Source organism: Homo sapiens, chromosome 4 (genome assembly GCF_000001405.40).
Source record: "Homo sapiens chromosome 4, GRCh38.p14 Primary Assembly".
Classification (NCBI taxonomy): domain Eukaryota; kingdom Metazoa; phylum Chordata; class Mammalia; order Primates; family Hominidae; genus Homo; species Homo sapiens.
The window spans coordinates 97,696,804-97,711,940 of record NC_000004.12 but is presented as its reverse complement, the minus strand read 5'-3'; the positions used below and the strand labels follow the sequence as shown (position 1 = coordinate 97,711,940).

The 15,137-nt window shown below is 37.3% G+C and overlaps 1 protein-coding gene across 7 annotated transcripts in view; it reads left to right on the top strand.

Moving 5' to 3' along the window:
• Positions 1-15,137, top strand: part of STPG2 (sperm tail PG-rich repeat containing 2) — a 702,228-nt gene that overhangs the window by 431,536 nt on the left and 255,555 nt on the right. The gene's annotated exons all lie outside the window — the stretch shown is intronic.

Here is a 15,137-nt window from a genome sequence, read left to right as displayed (position 1 = left end):
TCCCAGCACTTTGGGAAGCTGAGGCGGGCAGATACTTGAGGTCAGGAGTTTGAGACCAGCCTGGCCAACATGATGAAACCCTGTCTCTACTAAAAATATAAAAATAATCCAGGCATGGTGTCATGCACCTGTAGTCCCAGCTACTCGGGAGGCTGGGGCAGGAGAATCGCTTGGATCTGGGAGGCAGAGTTTGCAGTGGGCCAAAATTGCACCACTGCACTCCAGCCTGGGTGACAGAGCGAGACTCCTTCTCAAAAAAAAAAAAAAAAAAGTAAGTAAATAAAAATAAAATGTCACAATCTAAATACTTTTCAGCATTCCATCAAAGGAGAAAATAAAACAAATGAAAATGAGTAATCAAAGAATTGTTATCTTGTTGGCTGTTGATTCCTCCAAAAGACAAAGACTAATGCCTGCTGGTTAAGCAAAGCTAATTTTATTAGACTTACTTCAGAAAGGGAGAATCTCTTGAGAGTATTAGTACTATTTTCGAAGGTGGAAGTCAAGGGTGGGTATTTGTATGGTTTTAGGATCTATGCTAGGTGACTTAAGGCAAGTCTTGTAAGTGGGGAACTGATTAGGACTGGGCAAAGTTTATGACGTTTGTTTACTTTAGATTGATGAGCATAGTGAGGGAAGGTCTTTAAGTATTGATTAATAAGGTATTGGTCTTGATAAGTTGGGTACTTTAGTTGTTCATAGTTTGATGATATTAAATCATATTACATCTTTAGTTGAGCAATTTCTCTCCTTTAAAAAACTCATTTTAATGGTATCCACAAATAATAAATGTCAGCCAATCTAATGGTATCCTGTTTCATTTTGTGATGCATTCTTCGTAAAGGATGTTCCCACTAGTCTTTCTAGTATTTAAGATATTCTTGCTTTTTCTTTCTTAAGATTTTATAAATTTAATATTATATATTTATACTTTATGATAGATGTTTATTATGCAAAATTATTTCCCATGTCAGAGAAAACATTTATGGGTTTTATATTGTTGTTTGTTAAGGTATTCTTGAAATTTCAAACTATTACATCCTATATTTACTGAACTTCAAGGTAGCTTTTCTGTTGAGAACTGAGTCTGTAATTTTGTTTTTGTCTTCTCAACACCAATTTATTTCCTTGAATAATTAAAAACCTTTTTCAATAAATACTTTTTTCATAATTTTCCTTCTTTAAAGAAGTTACTTTTAAGTTGATGGGTTGATAAATTACTAGGTCTCTTTATTATTAACTTGTTCTTTTATTTTAATTTGACAGTCTCTCATGACTTTAATAAGTTTAAGTTGGTGACTCTTGAGAACATATTTGCTGTAAACTTTTTACGTTTTTTAACAGGAAAAGATAATTCTAGAAATGCATGATATTGATTTAGAATTGCAATTCAGTTATACTTGAAAATTACTTAGCTGTATGATCTGCCATTGAGATAGTTATACATTTTTAATGTCTTATGTCCACAAAGGATCCCCAACTGTCCAATGCTGGTGGTCCATACAATTATATTTGCAAAAATCTGGAGGCTTCTTAAATTGTACACCTATATTTGTAATGTCTGCTTGCTATTTTCATTTTTTTGTAAATTATCTCTGGAGTTCCCCAGGTAGATTTAGTTCTCTCTCCATTTTTGATGGGTGGAGGAAGGTCAGAGTTGCTTTTGGAATATATCTTACTTTGCCCATCTTATTTCAATTACTAGCTAAGCTGTTTGTCTTTGCTCCTTTTAGTTATTGATATTTATTGGATTACTATCATTGACCTTTTTGAAGATCTAATAAAAGCTAGGGAGAAAATGTGTGTATACTCATAAAAAATGTGCATACAATTTTAGAAGGTTTATTAATCTATAAAAGTTCACTTATAATTTCAACTGAGAACTCTCAATATTACATTATGAGCTTCATGAAGGCAATGATTTATTTAATTGTATATGATTCAGGTTCCACCCACAGAATCTGGCACCTAATACTATATTAATAAATGTTTATTGAATAAATTAGCAAAATGGAAAATCAGGATTTTCTTTTCATAAATCACTAATTTTTATCTAGACATAAATTTTTCCTCATTGACTTAGTTCTCAGTGAAAAGAATATGTGTATATTCATTTAAAATAACAGTAAATTTTATTGATTCATTCACATTCTCTTGTTGAATCAGTCTCTTGACCAAAAAACTGTTTTTTTAAGGTTTAGATAAGGCTTCAAATACAATGATCGAGTCAAATATACTGATTTTTTATTTGCTTCAAATATATTGATTTTCTGAAATTTAAATTATACAGTGACTATGTGAGAATATTTTAAAAAGCTAAATAGAAGAAACTTCAATGAATTTAATGTCATAAAATCCTTTAAATATTAGAAAAGATTTAAATATATCTCTTAAAAAAGCAAAAATTCTGCTGAAATTAATTGAAGTTCAATAACAATTCATTTTATGAGTATAATTTTTAATTTTTGCAGGTTACATAATTGCTTGAAAAATCTCAATTAGAGATTAATTTCAGAGTGAATTTTTAATAGCAGAATTGGGTAGGACAATATAAGTGAGATAAAATATTAACATGTATAAATCCAGAACATGTTGAGAATTGGAATCACACTGTAGGTTTAGTTTATTACTTATTTTCAGTTCTAAATTTAAAAATTGAGATTCTTATTGTTTATTACTATAGATTAACACCTTTTTGTTAAAGTCAACTGTATTTAAAAAAAACACTTATTTGGCTGTGATTTTATAAACTAGAAATTGATGCATATGTGATAGTACTAATTAATTCAATTGAGTCATTTACTTTCTATTACTTTGAAATTCTTTTGATGAAAATTGTGCACTTAGAAGTTTGAATTCAGACTTCACATCACATTTTAGATTGATAAACATCCCATGAATATGAAAATTTAGAAAAGGCACAAGAGAAAAATCTGTAGTGCAATTAGTTTCATTTAAATATCTATTCAAGTAGTACAGAAATTAACAAAGATATATTTTTATGAAAAGAAAATTTTACTCAAATGAAAAAATTATAAAGGAATTTATTTAGAAAATCCTTTTGTTAGCAGATTACCCACTTGTCTAAAACCCTCATTCTGGGTAATTTTAAAGAAGGAATTAGTAGGTATTTTTTTTTAATTATGGGATAGAATAATTTTATACTATAGAAATGAGAAAATGCATTAACATATATGTAATTTAATTATATTTTCACCAAAAAATAGAAAAAAGTATTTTCTCTATTGCATATTCTCAGAAAAATAATGTTAAATGGCAGAAAGATATTTTATTGGGAGTATAGCAAGAGATCTTTAAAAAGTTTTCAATTTTTCTATTATTATAAATAGCCTTATAAAGATAGTTTTATACCTGATCTTTGTTCCTACCTTTGATTATTTCTTAAGGAAAAATTCTTAGAATCACTGGCAAACAAGGCTTGCTTCCTATTTAAGCCTAATACCTCTAATTACATGCTAGAACTCATTTACTTCATCTGCTCAAAGAGTGGTGCCAGCCATATTTCCCTTTACTTCATTGGTTTGGATATTATAAGGCATTTAATACATATCTGTAATTTTTTTAGAAATTATTTTTAGTGTGGTAATACTTTAATATCTTTTCATATTTCTTAAATAATTATTGGTCTATTTACGTTGTTTCCTTTGCCAAGTGAATTTTTTTAGATTTTATTTTTCAAAAAAACCATTTGATTATGAAAAGTGGTAATATTTTAAAAAAACATTCCCACATTGCTTTAGTTGTGTTTTTGTCCCTTTCACATTATTAGCTTTAGATGAGTTGCACTTTCATGTTTGTTTTTGCCGTGTATCAAAGACATCAATCTTGGAATACCCTTTATGTCATTAGCTTAGAGTATACATTTAAGAGAGTAGAAAGTCAGACCAAAGTACTTGTATTTGAATTTCAACATAACCACTCATTTGCTGTATAGTAATGGTTACCAACTTATCTAAGAAATTTTACCATGTTTTGCATGCTTGTTTGGTAAAATCTATTAAAAATTGTCTTTACTTTTAAAAATCATTTTGTTAGGCTTAGTGTTTCTTCATACCTAAGTTAATTTATTTAATGCCTTTATATTTTCTTTTGATTTGGATATGGTTTTTATTTTTGTCTTCGATTCTATGCTACCTTATATTTTTACTTTGGTATTAGGTTTGACACATCAATCTTTCTTTCCTTCCTTTCACTTATAATTTGGACTATCATCTTTATTATTCATCCAATTACTATTCAGAAGGCCCTTATTGATGCCCACCAGTCAATATTTCTTTCTAGTGCAGTTATTCTCATACTCTCATAGGTAACTCTTTCATACCTTCTCTGTTCTAAAATCTCTAGTACTTCCCCCCTCCCTCCATCCTCTTTTATTTATTGAAATTATTTTCATTTTTTTGAGACAGGGTCTCACTCTGTTGCCCAGGTTGGACTGCAGTGGTACAATCACAGTTCACTGTAGCCTTGACCTCCTAGGCGCAAGTAATTCTCCCACCTCAGCCTCCCAGGTAGCTGGAACTACAAGCACGCACCACCATACCTGGCTAATTTTTTGTATTTTTTGCAGAGATGGGGTTTTGCCCTGTTGCCCAGGCTGGTCTTGGACTTCTGGAAGCAATCCAACTGCCTTTGCCTCCCAAAGTGCTGAGATTATAGGCGTTAAGCCACCGCACCCAGCTCTCTCATTCTCTTTTAGTTAATGCCTTCAGACATTTTACTTATCATTTCCACATGGTCCTATCAGCACATCACTTTCCCCAACAACATTTCTACATATTTACTCCACTTCTCCTCCTGATGCTGAACTGTCTTGCCTCCTACTTAAGCCTAATACCTTTAATTACCTGCTAGATCTCATTTGCTTCATCTGCTCAATGATGTTGTACCAGCAATTTCTCCCTTTACTTCATTTTTCCCTCTCTGCCAAATCATTCAGGTAAACATACAACCATTTTGCCTATCGTCTCATCTAAAAATATCTCTCAGCCTCATTTTTCCTTCAATTAAACCCCTGTTTCTATATTTTCTTCTTTAAAAAGCTACTCAAAGTACTAGCATACATTCATCGTTTCCATTTTCTCTTTTCTTATTCTCTTTTAATTTGACACTTGTAAGGCTTTCTCCCCAACTACTCCACAGAAATGGCTCATCAATGACTTTCATAAATCTTTTGCCCAATCCTGTGGTAGATCCTGTGTCGAATCTCCTTATTTTACTTAACCTAGCAGCAGCATTTAATATAGTGGATTATTCTTCTTGGAAATGTTCATCCTGCCCCAAGTTGGGTTTTCAGACTACCATTCTCTCTATGTCTGAGTTGGTTTTGGCTGCTTTAACAAACTAACAGAGACTGGGTGGTTTATAAACAACAAAAATTTATTTCTCATAGCTCTGAACACTGGAAAATCCTAGATAAAATTTAGTGTTTTGTGAGGGTCTTCTTCCTGATTCACAGACAGCTGTCTTCTTGCTGTGTCCTCACATGGCAGAAGGGCAAAGGAGCTCTCTTTTATAAGGGCCTAATTCCATTCACGAGGGCTCTACCTCAGGACCTACAAATGCCAACTTTCTAATACTATCACACTAGGGGTTACTATTTCAACATATGGATTGACAGTAAGTAGAGATGGAAACAAATTTTTTAGGGCATTAGTCTCTATATTGGTCCCTACAAGCTACTCGCAGAGGGGTGCTGAGTATATGTGTCTAGTCCTCCGTTATCTGCTTTTTTCAGAAGGGCTACCCTTCCTATGCTTTATATATTATATATGTTAGAAAAAGAGTTCCACTACTTACGAATAAAAAGAAAAATTCAAAGCTACAGTTATAAGGAAAAGGTAGATTCATTGGATCAAGAGAAAATAGTATAAATTGCACTTTGATCACTTGATAGCTCAGATACAAGGATAAAAACTGCTATAAATGTAGTACAAATCTATACTGAAAAAAGCATGTATTACAGTACTTGATATACAGTGGGACTGTATGTTATAGTTATTATATATTAGATATGTTATATATGTTATTGTTACTGTTACCTTTGTTTCATGGCTATATTCATTTATTTCTAGTTTATAAATATGATCCTAGTATGGTATAGGCTCTGAGTCCAAAATGAAAAATCTCTATTCTCAACTATATAGCAATCTAGTAAGGAGAAACTATATATAAACATTTTAATTATAATAAAATAATTATTATTTGTTAATAGGTGAAAGGTACCAATATGATAAAGAATTTCTGGGCTGGGTGCAGTGGCTCATACCTGTAATCCCAGCACTTTAAGAATTTCTGGGCTTGGCACAGTGGCTCACACCTGTAATCCTAGAACTTTGGGAGGCTGAGGTGGGCAACTCATCGGAGGTCCAGAGTTCAAGACCAGCCTGGTCAACATGATGAAACCCCGTCTCGACTAAAGATACAAAAATTAGCCAGGTGTGGTGGTGTGCACCTGTTGTCCCAGCTGCTTAGGAGGCAGAGACACGAGGATCGCTTGAACTTGGGAGATGGAGGTTGCAGTGAGCCGAGATCGCGCCACTGCACTCCAGCCTGGGTAACAGAGTGAGACTCCATCTCAGAAAAAAAAAAGAATTTCTAAGTTAGACAAAGGGAGTAAGACTTCAGAAAGTATTTTATATGAAATATAAAAGAGTAATGGGAGTTTTTTACTTAGACAAGCCAATGGGGCTTTTTCTAGGCAAAGGAAACAGTATATGCAAAGTCAAAGAGGCACTGGAGAATAGAATATCCTTGTCAAGCTTATTGTTAGTATTACTAAAATATAAAATGAATAGAATGATATTAGATATGTAGATAGTATTAGATCACAAAGAGTATCAAAATATGCAGTTTTAATTTTCTCCTCTGAGCTATAGACACCAAAGATTTCTGAGTAGAATTATAGTGTTATATATTAATACAAATCAAGCAACACCCAGTGTTTTATTTTTTAATATTTTAAGATATTTTTTCCATATTTTTTCTTGATAAATTTCTTATAAGGAATGATAAAGCATGATTTAAATTATATATGCTTTTTAATATTGAATGACAGTTTCTAAGTTTATTTCTAATGTTCATATTATCTTTGTGGAAAATTTTCAATTGTAGCTATGAAATATATTTTAGAATGTGACTTAAACTTCTCCGTTTACAAACTCACTTTTATACTGTAGTTTTAATATTTGTGGGACAGTATTTTATGTTATTTGAAAATGTGATTTAAACTTTTGGTTTTAGAAATTGGTTTTGCACTTCAATTGTAAAGGTCATGGCACATTACTTAATACCCCAAAGTGAATGTTTAAAAGCTACCTGTCATTTGCCATTCTAAAAAGGTCTTTGACTCTCCATGGACTACAACCTTGCTTTAATTCTTTTCCTTCATTTCTTCTGACAGAACTCTTGATATTCTTTTGAACTTCCTAGGTCATTAAATTTTAGGAGACAGATTATGTTCTGTCTGGGAAAATCTATTTTCAGCCTATGGTATTAGGCCTTGGGATATCTGTCAGAGGTATGAGCTTCTCTGGGTTGTGTTGAGAGGAATCCAGACATATTATGGAAGTATTTCTTGTATCGGAATAGAGAAAGATCTTTGTATCTTAAGGATAGCTTTCAGCCCAGAAAGATCATTTGGATAATTATATGTTATGGATCATTTACATGGAGTTCATAAACTCTTTCATGGTGTGATGGTTAATACTGAGTGTCAACTTAATTGGATTGAAGGATACAGAGTATTCAAAATACTGATCCTGGGTGTGTCTGTTAGGGTGTTGCCAAAGGAGATTAACATTTGAGTCAGTGGGCTGGAAAGGCAGACCCACCGTTAATCTGGGTGGGTACCATCTAATCAGCTGCCAGCACAGCTAGAATATAAAGCAGGCAGAAAAATGTGAAAGGATAAGACCAGCCTAGCCTCACAGCCTATATCTTTCTCTCATGCTGGATGCTTTCTGCCTTCAAACTTCAGACCCCAAGTTCTTCAGTTTTGGGACTCAGACTGGCTCTCCTTGCTCCTCAGTTTGCAGACAGCCTATTGTGGGACCTTGTGATTATGTAAGTTAATACTTAATAAATCCCCCTGTGTATATATGTATATATACACACACACACACACACATATATATACACACACACACAAATATACTATGCTAATATACTATATATATACGATAATATATTATATATACTAAATATATATACTATAATATACTATATATACTAAATATATATACTATATATATTTTATATATGTTTTATTTATATATGTTTTATTTATATATATAATATATATAGTATATATACTATACACTACTTATAGTATATATATACTATATATACTAAATATAATAGTATATATAGTATATTATAGTATATAGACTTATATATAGTATATAGTCTATATACTATATACTGTATATACTATATATATACTATATACTACTATATATATAGTGTGTGTATATATATAGCATATATCATATTATATATAGTATATATATATAATAGGATATATATATATATCCTATTAGTTCTGACCCTCTAGAGAACCCTGACTAATACAGATTTTGGTAACACAAGTGGTTCTAGAAGAACAGAATATTAAGGATCGAGTTCTTTTGCTGGTTTTGGGGTTCTAGAGTTGGCTGCTTAATATGATTAGATCCCAAAATGCTAAGATTCTACTTCTAATAATATGGAGAACACTGATAGTCCTTGGCATGAACTGTTTAGAGAGCTGTGCAAAATAAATGCATTTGACACTCCTGATTCACTGCTCGTGAGAAGCAAGGAGTCTAGTCAGTCTATACCTAATACTTTTGACCATATGCGGAGAACCAAGGAACATAATGAAGCTGGTTGGTTGCTCCAAACTTCAGTGAACAAAGTAATGAAAGAAAATGATGAATCTACGGATTCTAACTCCCAGCCTCAGAAGCAGATACTGAGCCTCAAATCTGCTAAGATTGCCCTGAGTCAGAGTCTTACCTCCTGTAGAGAAAGACCTGAAATTGTGGAAAAATAGACACAAGCTCTTATCATGCAAGTGGCTGACGTGCAACGAAAGGTGCAGGCACAGCCTCACCAGGTGTCTACTATTAATGTGAGGGCATTGACTGGAAAAGAATGGGACCCTACAACTTTGAATGGGGATGTGTGGGAGGACCCTGATGAAGCTGGGGACACTGAGCTTGTAAACTCTGGTGAAGCTTTTTTGCCAGAACAAACAGCTTCACCATCCCCAGTAGTGGCAATATCTCCTTCTTGACCCATGCTGCCATCAGCCATTCCACCTTTGTCTGAGGAGATAAACCCTGCACTACCTGAGGCAACAGTGATGGCCTCCGGTGAGACAGTTGCCAGGAAAGATAATATTGATTCTCTTCAGGAGCCACCCCTAATGCCCCCATTTGCTTCTAGACCTATAACTAGATTAAAGTCCCAGTGGGTCACTAGAGGTGAGGTTGAGGGTTTGACCCATGAGAAGGTGTGTTACACTTGAAAAAACTGCTTGAATTTTTAACTTATATAAACAGAAATCTGGAGAACAGGCATGGGAATGGATATTAAGGATGTGGGATAATGTTGAAAGGAACATAGAGTTGGATCAAGCTGAATTTATTTATTTGGGCCCACTAAGTGGGGACTCTGCATTTAATGTTGCAGCTCAGGGAGTTAAAAAAGGTTCTAATAGCTTATTTGCATGGTTAGCTGAAATATGGATTAAAAGATGGCCCACTGTAAGTGAGCTGGAAATGTGTGGTATCCCTTGGTTTGATGTAGAGGAAGGGATCCAAATGCTTAGAGAGATTGGGAAGGTGGAATGGATTAGTCTTTAGACCTACTCATCCCAGCTGGGAGGATCCAGAAGACATCCCCTGAACAATGCGTTGTGAAACAGATTTGTGAGGGTAGCACCTGCATCTTTGAAGAGCTCTGTAATTGCTCTTCTCTGTATGTCACATCTAACAATGGGAACCACCGTCACTCAACTACAAAATTTAAATATAATGGGAGTAATTGGATCCCAAGGTGGCAGGGGCCAAGTGGTGGCACTCAACTGTCAAAGGCAAAGTGGTCGTAGCTACTGTGATGGACAGCAGAGACAAAGCAGCAGTCAGAATAGTCTGACTTATGTAGAGCTATGGGATTGGCTAATTAATCATGGTTTTCCTAGAAGTGAAATTGACAGGAAGCCTACTGCATTCCTACTTAATTTATATAAGCAGAAACCTTCTAGGTTGAATGGACAAAAGACTAATTTGAATTATAAAAACAGAATCACGGCCCCTCAATCAATTTCCAGACTTGAGCAGGTTTACAGATCCAGAACCCCTTGAATGATGGGGAGGCTGGGTCCCCTTGAGGGAGGACCCCACTACACTACCAACAATTTATGCTGTTAATCTTTTTTCCATCCTTCCCCATGGAGACCTCTGGTTAACTGTGCATTGGGGAAAGGGAAATTATCAGACATTTTGGGGACTACTGAACACTGGCTCTGAGCTGACATTGATTCAGGGGATCCAATATGTCATCGTGGTCCTCCAGTTAAAGTAGAGGCTTATGGAGGTCAGATAATTAAAGGGGTTTTAGCTCAGGTCTGACTTACAGTGGGTCCAGTGGGTCCCTGGACTCATCTTGTGGTCATTTTCCCAGTGCCAGGATGCATAACTGGCATAGACATACTTAGCAGCTGGCAGGACCCCCACATTGGCTCCCTGAATGGTAGGGTGAGGGCTACTATGGTGGGAAAGGCCAAATGGAAGGCATTAAGAGCTGCCTCTACCTAGAAAAATAGTAAATCAGAAACAGTATTGCATCCCTGGAGGGATTGCAGAGATTAGTGCCACTATCAAGGATATGAAAGATGCAGGGGTGGTGATTCCCACCACATCCCCACTCACCTCTCCCATTTGGCCTGTGAGGAAGACAGATGGATCTTGGAGAATGACAGTGGATTATTATAAGCTTAATCAAGTGGTGACTCCAATTTCAGCTGCTGTACCAAATGTGGTTTCATTGATTTGAGCAAATTAACACATCTCCTGGTACTTGCTATGCAGCCATTGACTCAGGAGCTGCATAAGGCCCTGTCCATAAGGCCCATCAGAAGCAATTTGCCTTCAGCTGGCAAGGCCAGCATTATACCTTTACAGTCCTACCTCAGGGGTATATCAACTTCTGGCTTTTTGTCATAATCTTATTTGGAGAGACCCTGATCACTTTCCACTTCCGCAAGATATCACACTGGTCTATTACACTGATGACATTATTTTGATTAGATCCAGTGAGCAAGAAGTAGGAAACACACTGGACTTATTGGTGAGACACTTGCATGCCAGAAAATGGGAAATAAATCTGACTAAAATTCAGGGACTTTCTCCCTCAGTAAAATTTCTAGGGGTCCAGTGGTGTGGGGCCTTTTGAGATATTCCTTCTAAGGTTAAGGATAAGTTGCTGCATTTGACCCCTTCTACAACCAAGAAAGTGGCAGAATGCCTACTGCACCTATTGGGATTTTGGAGACAACACATTCCTCATTTGGGTGTATTGCTCTGGCCCATTTGTTGAGTGACCCAAAAGGCTGCTATTTTGGAGTGGAGTCCAGTACAGGAGAAGGTTCTGTAACAGGTCCAGGCTACTGTACAAGCTGCTCTGCCACTGGGGCCATATGACTCAACAGATCCAATTGGTTGTGGTATCAGTGGCAGATAGGGATGATGACTGGAGCCTTTGGCAGTCCCCCATAGGTGAATCACAGCAGAGACCTCTAGGATTTTGAAGCAAGGCCCTGCCATCTGTGGATAACTACTCTCCTTTTGAGGGACAGCTCTTGGCCTGTTACTGGGCTTTGGTAGAAACTGAACGTTTGACTATGGGTCATCAAGTCACCACATGACCTCAACTGCCTATCATTAACTGGGTGCTTTCTGACCCATGTAGCCATAAAGTGGGTCATGCACAGCAGCATTCTCTCATTAAATGAAAGTGGCATATAAGTGATCAGGCTCAAGCAGGTCCTGAAAGCACAAGTAAGTTACATGAGGAAGTGCTCAAATGCCCATGGTCTCCACTGATGCCACACTGCCTCGTCTCCTCCAGCCTGCACTGATGGCCTCATGGGGAGTTCCTTATGATTAGTTGACAGAGAAAGAGAAGACTAGGGCCTGGTTCATAGATGGTTGTGCATCATAAGCAGGCACCACCCAAAAGTGGACAGCTGCAGCACTACAGCCTCTTTCTAGGACATCCTTGAAGGACAGCAGTGAAGGGAACTCTCCTCAGTGGGCAGAACTTTGAGCAGTGCACCTGGTTATGCACTTTGCATGGAAGGAGAAATGGCCAGATGTACGATTATATACTCATTCATGGACTGTAACCAATGGTTTGGCTGGATGGTCAGGGACTTGGAAGAAGCATAAGAAAATTGGTGATAAAGAAATTTATGGAAGAGGTATGTGGATGGACCTCTCTGAGTGGTCAAAAATTGTGAAGATATTTGTATCCCATGTGAGTGCTCACCAATGGGTGACCTCGACAGAGGAGCATTTTAGTAATCAATTGGATAGTATGACCCATTCTGTGGATACCACTCAGCCTCTTTCCCCAGCCACCTCAGTTATTGCCCAATGGGCCCATGAACAAAGTGGCCATGGTGGCAGTGATGGAGGTTATGCATGGGCTCAACAACATGGATTTCCACTCACCAAGGCAGACCTGGCTGCAGCCACTGTCGAGTGCCCAATTTGCCAGCAGCAGAGACTGACACTGAGCCCTCAGTATAGCCACATTCCTCAGGGTGATCAGCCAACTACCTGGTAGCAGGTTGATTGTATTGGACCTCTTCTGAAAGGGCAGAGGTTTGTCCTCACTGGAATAGACACTTACTCTGGATATGTGTTTGCCTATCCTGTATGCAATGCTTCTGCCAAGACTATCATCAGTGGACTCACAGAATGCCTTATCCACTGTCATGGTATTCCACACAGCATTGCCTCTGACCAAGGCACTCACTTTATGGCTAAAGAAGTGTGGCAGTGGGCTCATGTTCATGGAATTCACTAGTCTTACCATGTTCCCCATCATCCTGAAGCAGCTGGATTGATAGAATAGTGGAATGGCCTTTTGAAGTCACAATTACAACGCCGACTAGGTGACAATACTTTGCCGGGCTCTGGCAAAGTATTCCAGAAGGCCATGAATGCTCTGAATCAGCCTCCAATATATGGCATTGTTTCTCCCATAGCCAGGATTCACAGGGCCAGGAATCAAGGGGTGGAAGTGGAAGTGGCGTCACTCATCATCAACCTTAGTGACCACTAGCAACATTGTTGCTTCCTGTTCTCACGACATTACATTTTGCTAGCCTAGAGGTCTTAGTTCCAGAGGGAGGAATGCTGCCACCAGGAGACACAACAATGAATCCATTAAATTGGAAGTTAAGATTGCCACCTGGACACTTTGTGCTCCTCCTACCTTTAAGTCAACAGGCTAAGAATGGAGTTACAGTGTTCGCTGGAGTTACTGATGCAGATTATCAAGATGAAATCAGTCTACTACTCCACAACGGTGGTAAGGAAGAGTATGGATGGAATACAGGAGATCCATTAGGGCGTCTCTTAGTATTGCCATGCCCTGTGATTAAGCTTAATGGGAAACTCCAACAGTTCTGCCAATCCAGGCAGAAATACAAATGGCCCAGACCCTTCAGGAATGAAGGTTTGAGTCACTCCACCAAGAAAATAACCACGACCTGCTGAGGTTCTTGCTGAAGGCAAAGGGATGCTGCTGAGACCAGATCGGTCATGGAGACCCTAACCCAGTGGTGCTAGAGGAATTAAAAACACACACAAAGAAATATAGAGTGTGGAGTGGGAAATCAGGGGGCTGGCAGCCTTCAGAGCTGAGAGCCATGAACAGAGTTTTACCCACGTATTTATTGACAGTAAGGCAGTGATAAGCATTGTTTCTATAGATTATAGATTAACTAAAAGCATTCCTCACGAGAAGAAAAGGGATGGGCCGAAACAAAGGGATGGGTTCTGGCTAATTATCTGCAGCAGGAACATGTCCTTAAGGCACAGATAACTCATGCAATTGCTTGTGGTTTAGGAACACCTTAAGCAGTTTTCCACCTTGGGTGGGCCAGGTGTTACTTGCCCTCATTTCGGTAAACTAACAACCTTCAGCATGGGTGTCATAGCCATCACGAGCATATCACAGTGCTGCAGGGATTTTGTTTATGGCCAGTTTTGTGGCCAGTTTATAGCCAGATTTGGGGGCCTGTTCCCAACAAGTTCCCCCTTTTTGTTTTTGCAAGACAATAAAAGCAAAGGTGGCTTTATCACAGTGAGCTACTTCTCGCAGGAATCAGGATTCGCATCTGCAGACTATACAAAGACAAACAACAGAGATTAAAAGCACAATCATCATTGAAATCACAGAGCCTCCAAGTGTTTTTATCCATTGTAATGGGTTACTAGCTGCTAAGCCATCTGCAGCTCCTTCAAGCACTCCAGTTCCTGGCATTAAGGTCAGGGGTGCCTGGGATGCTTTTAATATTTGTTCTTTTAGTTTTGCAACATCCAAAGACAAGTTTGTAGAGTGTCCTTATAGATGCTTTTTAATTCTTTCCCAAATTTTGATCTTATTAAGAGCCATTAATAGTTATCACAAATCCTTATATTTAGCTCCCACAGTGGGCCATATTATTTGAGGTTGAGGTGCCACTATACCACCATGTTTCCAGATAATAAGGTCTTGCTGTACTTCTCACCATTTCTACTATCTGACCATTTTGTTTAGACCAGGTGAACATAGTGTGGCTGTGGCATGCAGACAGAGAGGTGCAATTCAAGCTAAACATTCCCTTAGGGGACCAATCAATAATGATTCCACAGGAATCCTTGCACAGCACCTATGCCTGTTCTGCAATGCAATCTTCCCAAACAAGTATGTTCATTTTTTCTGGCCAGGTCCAATCCTGTTTACAAATAGTTTTTTGAGGGTGGTATGCCTCAATTATAGGAGCAGAAAATTAATTTTTTTGATTATGGGCATTCTTGCAGGAGAAGGTGGTATTACATTGTGGGTTTGATTTGGATTTC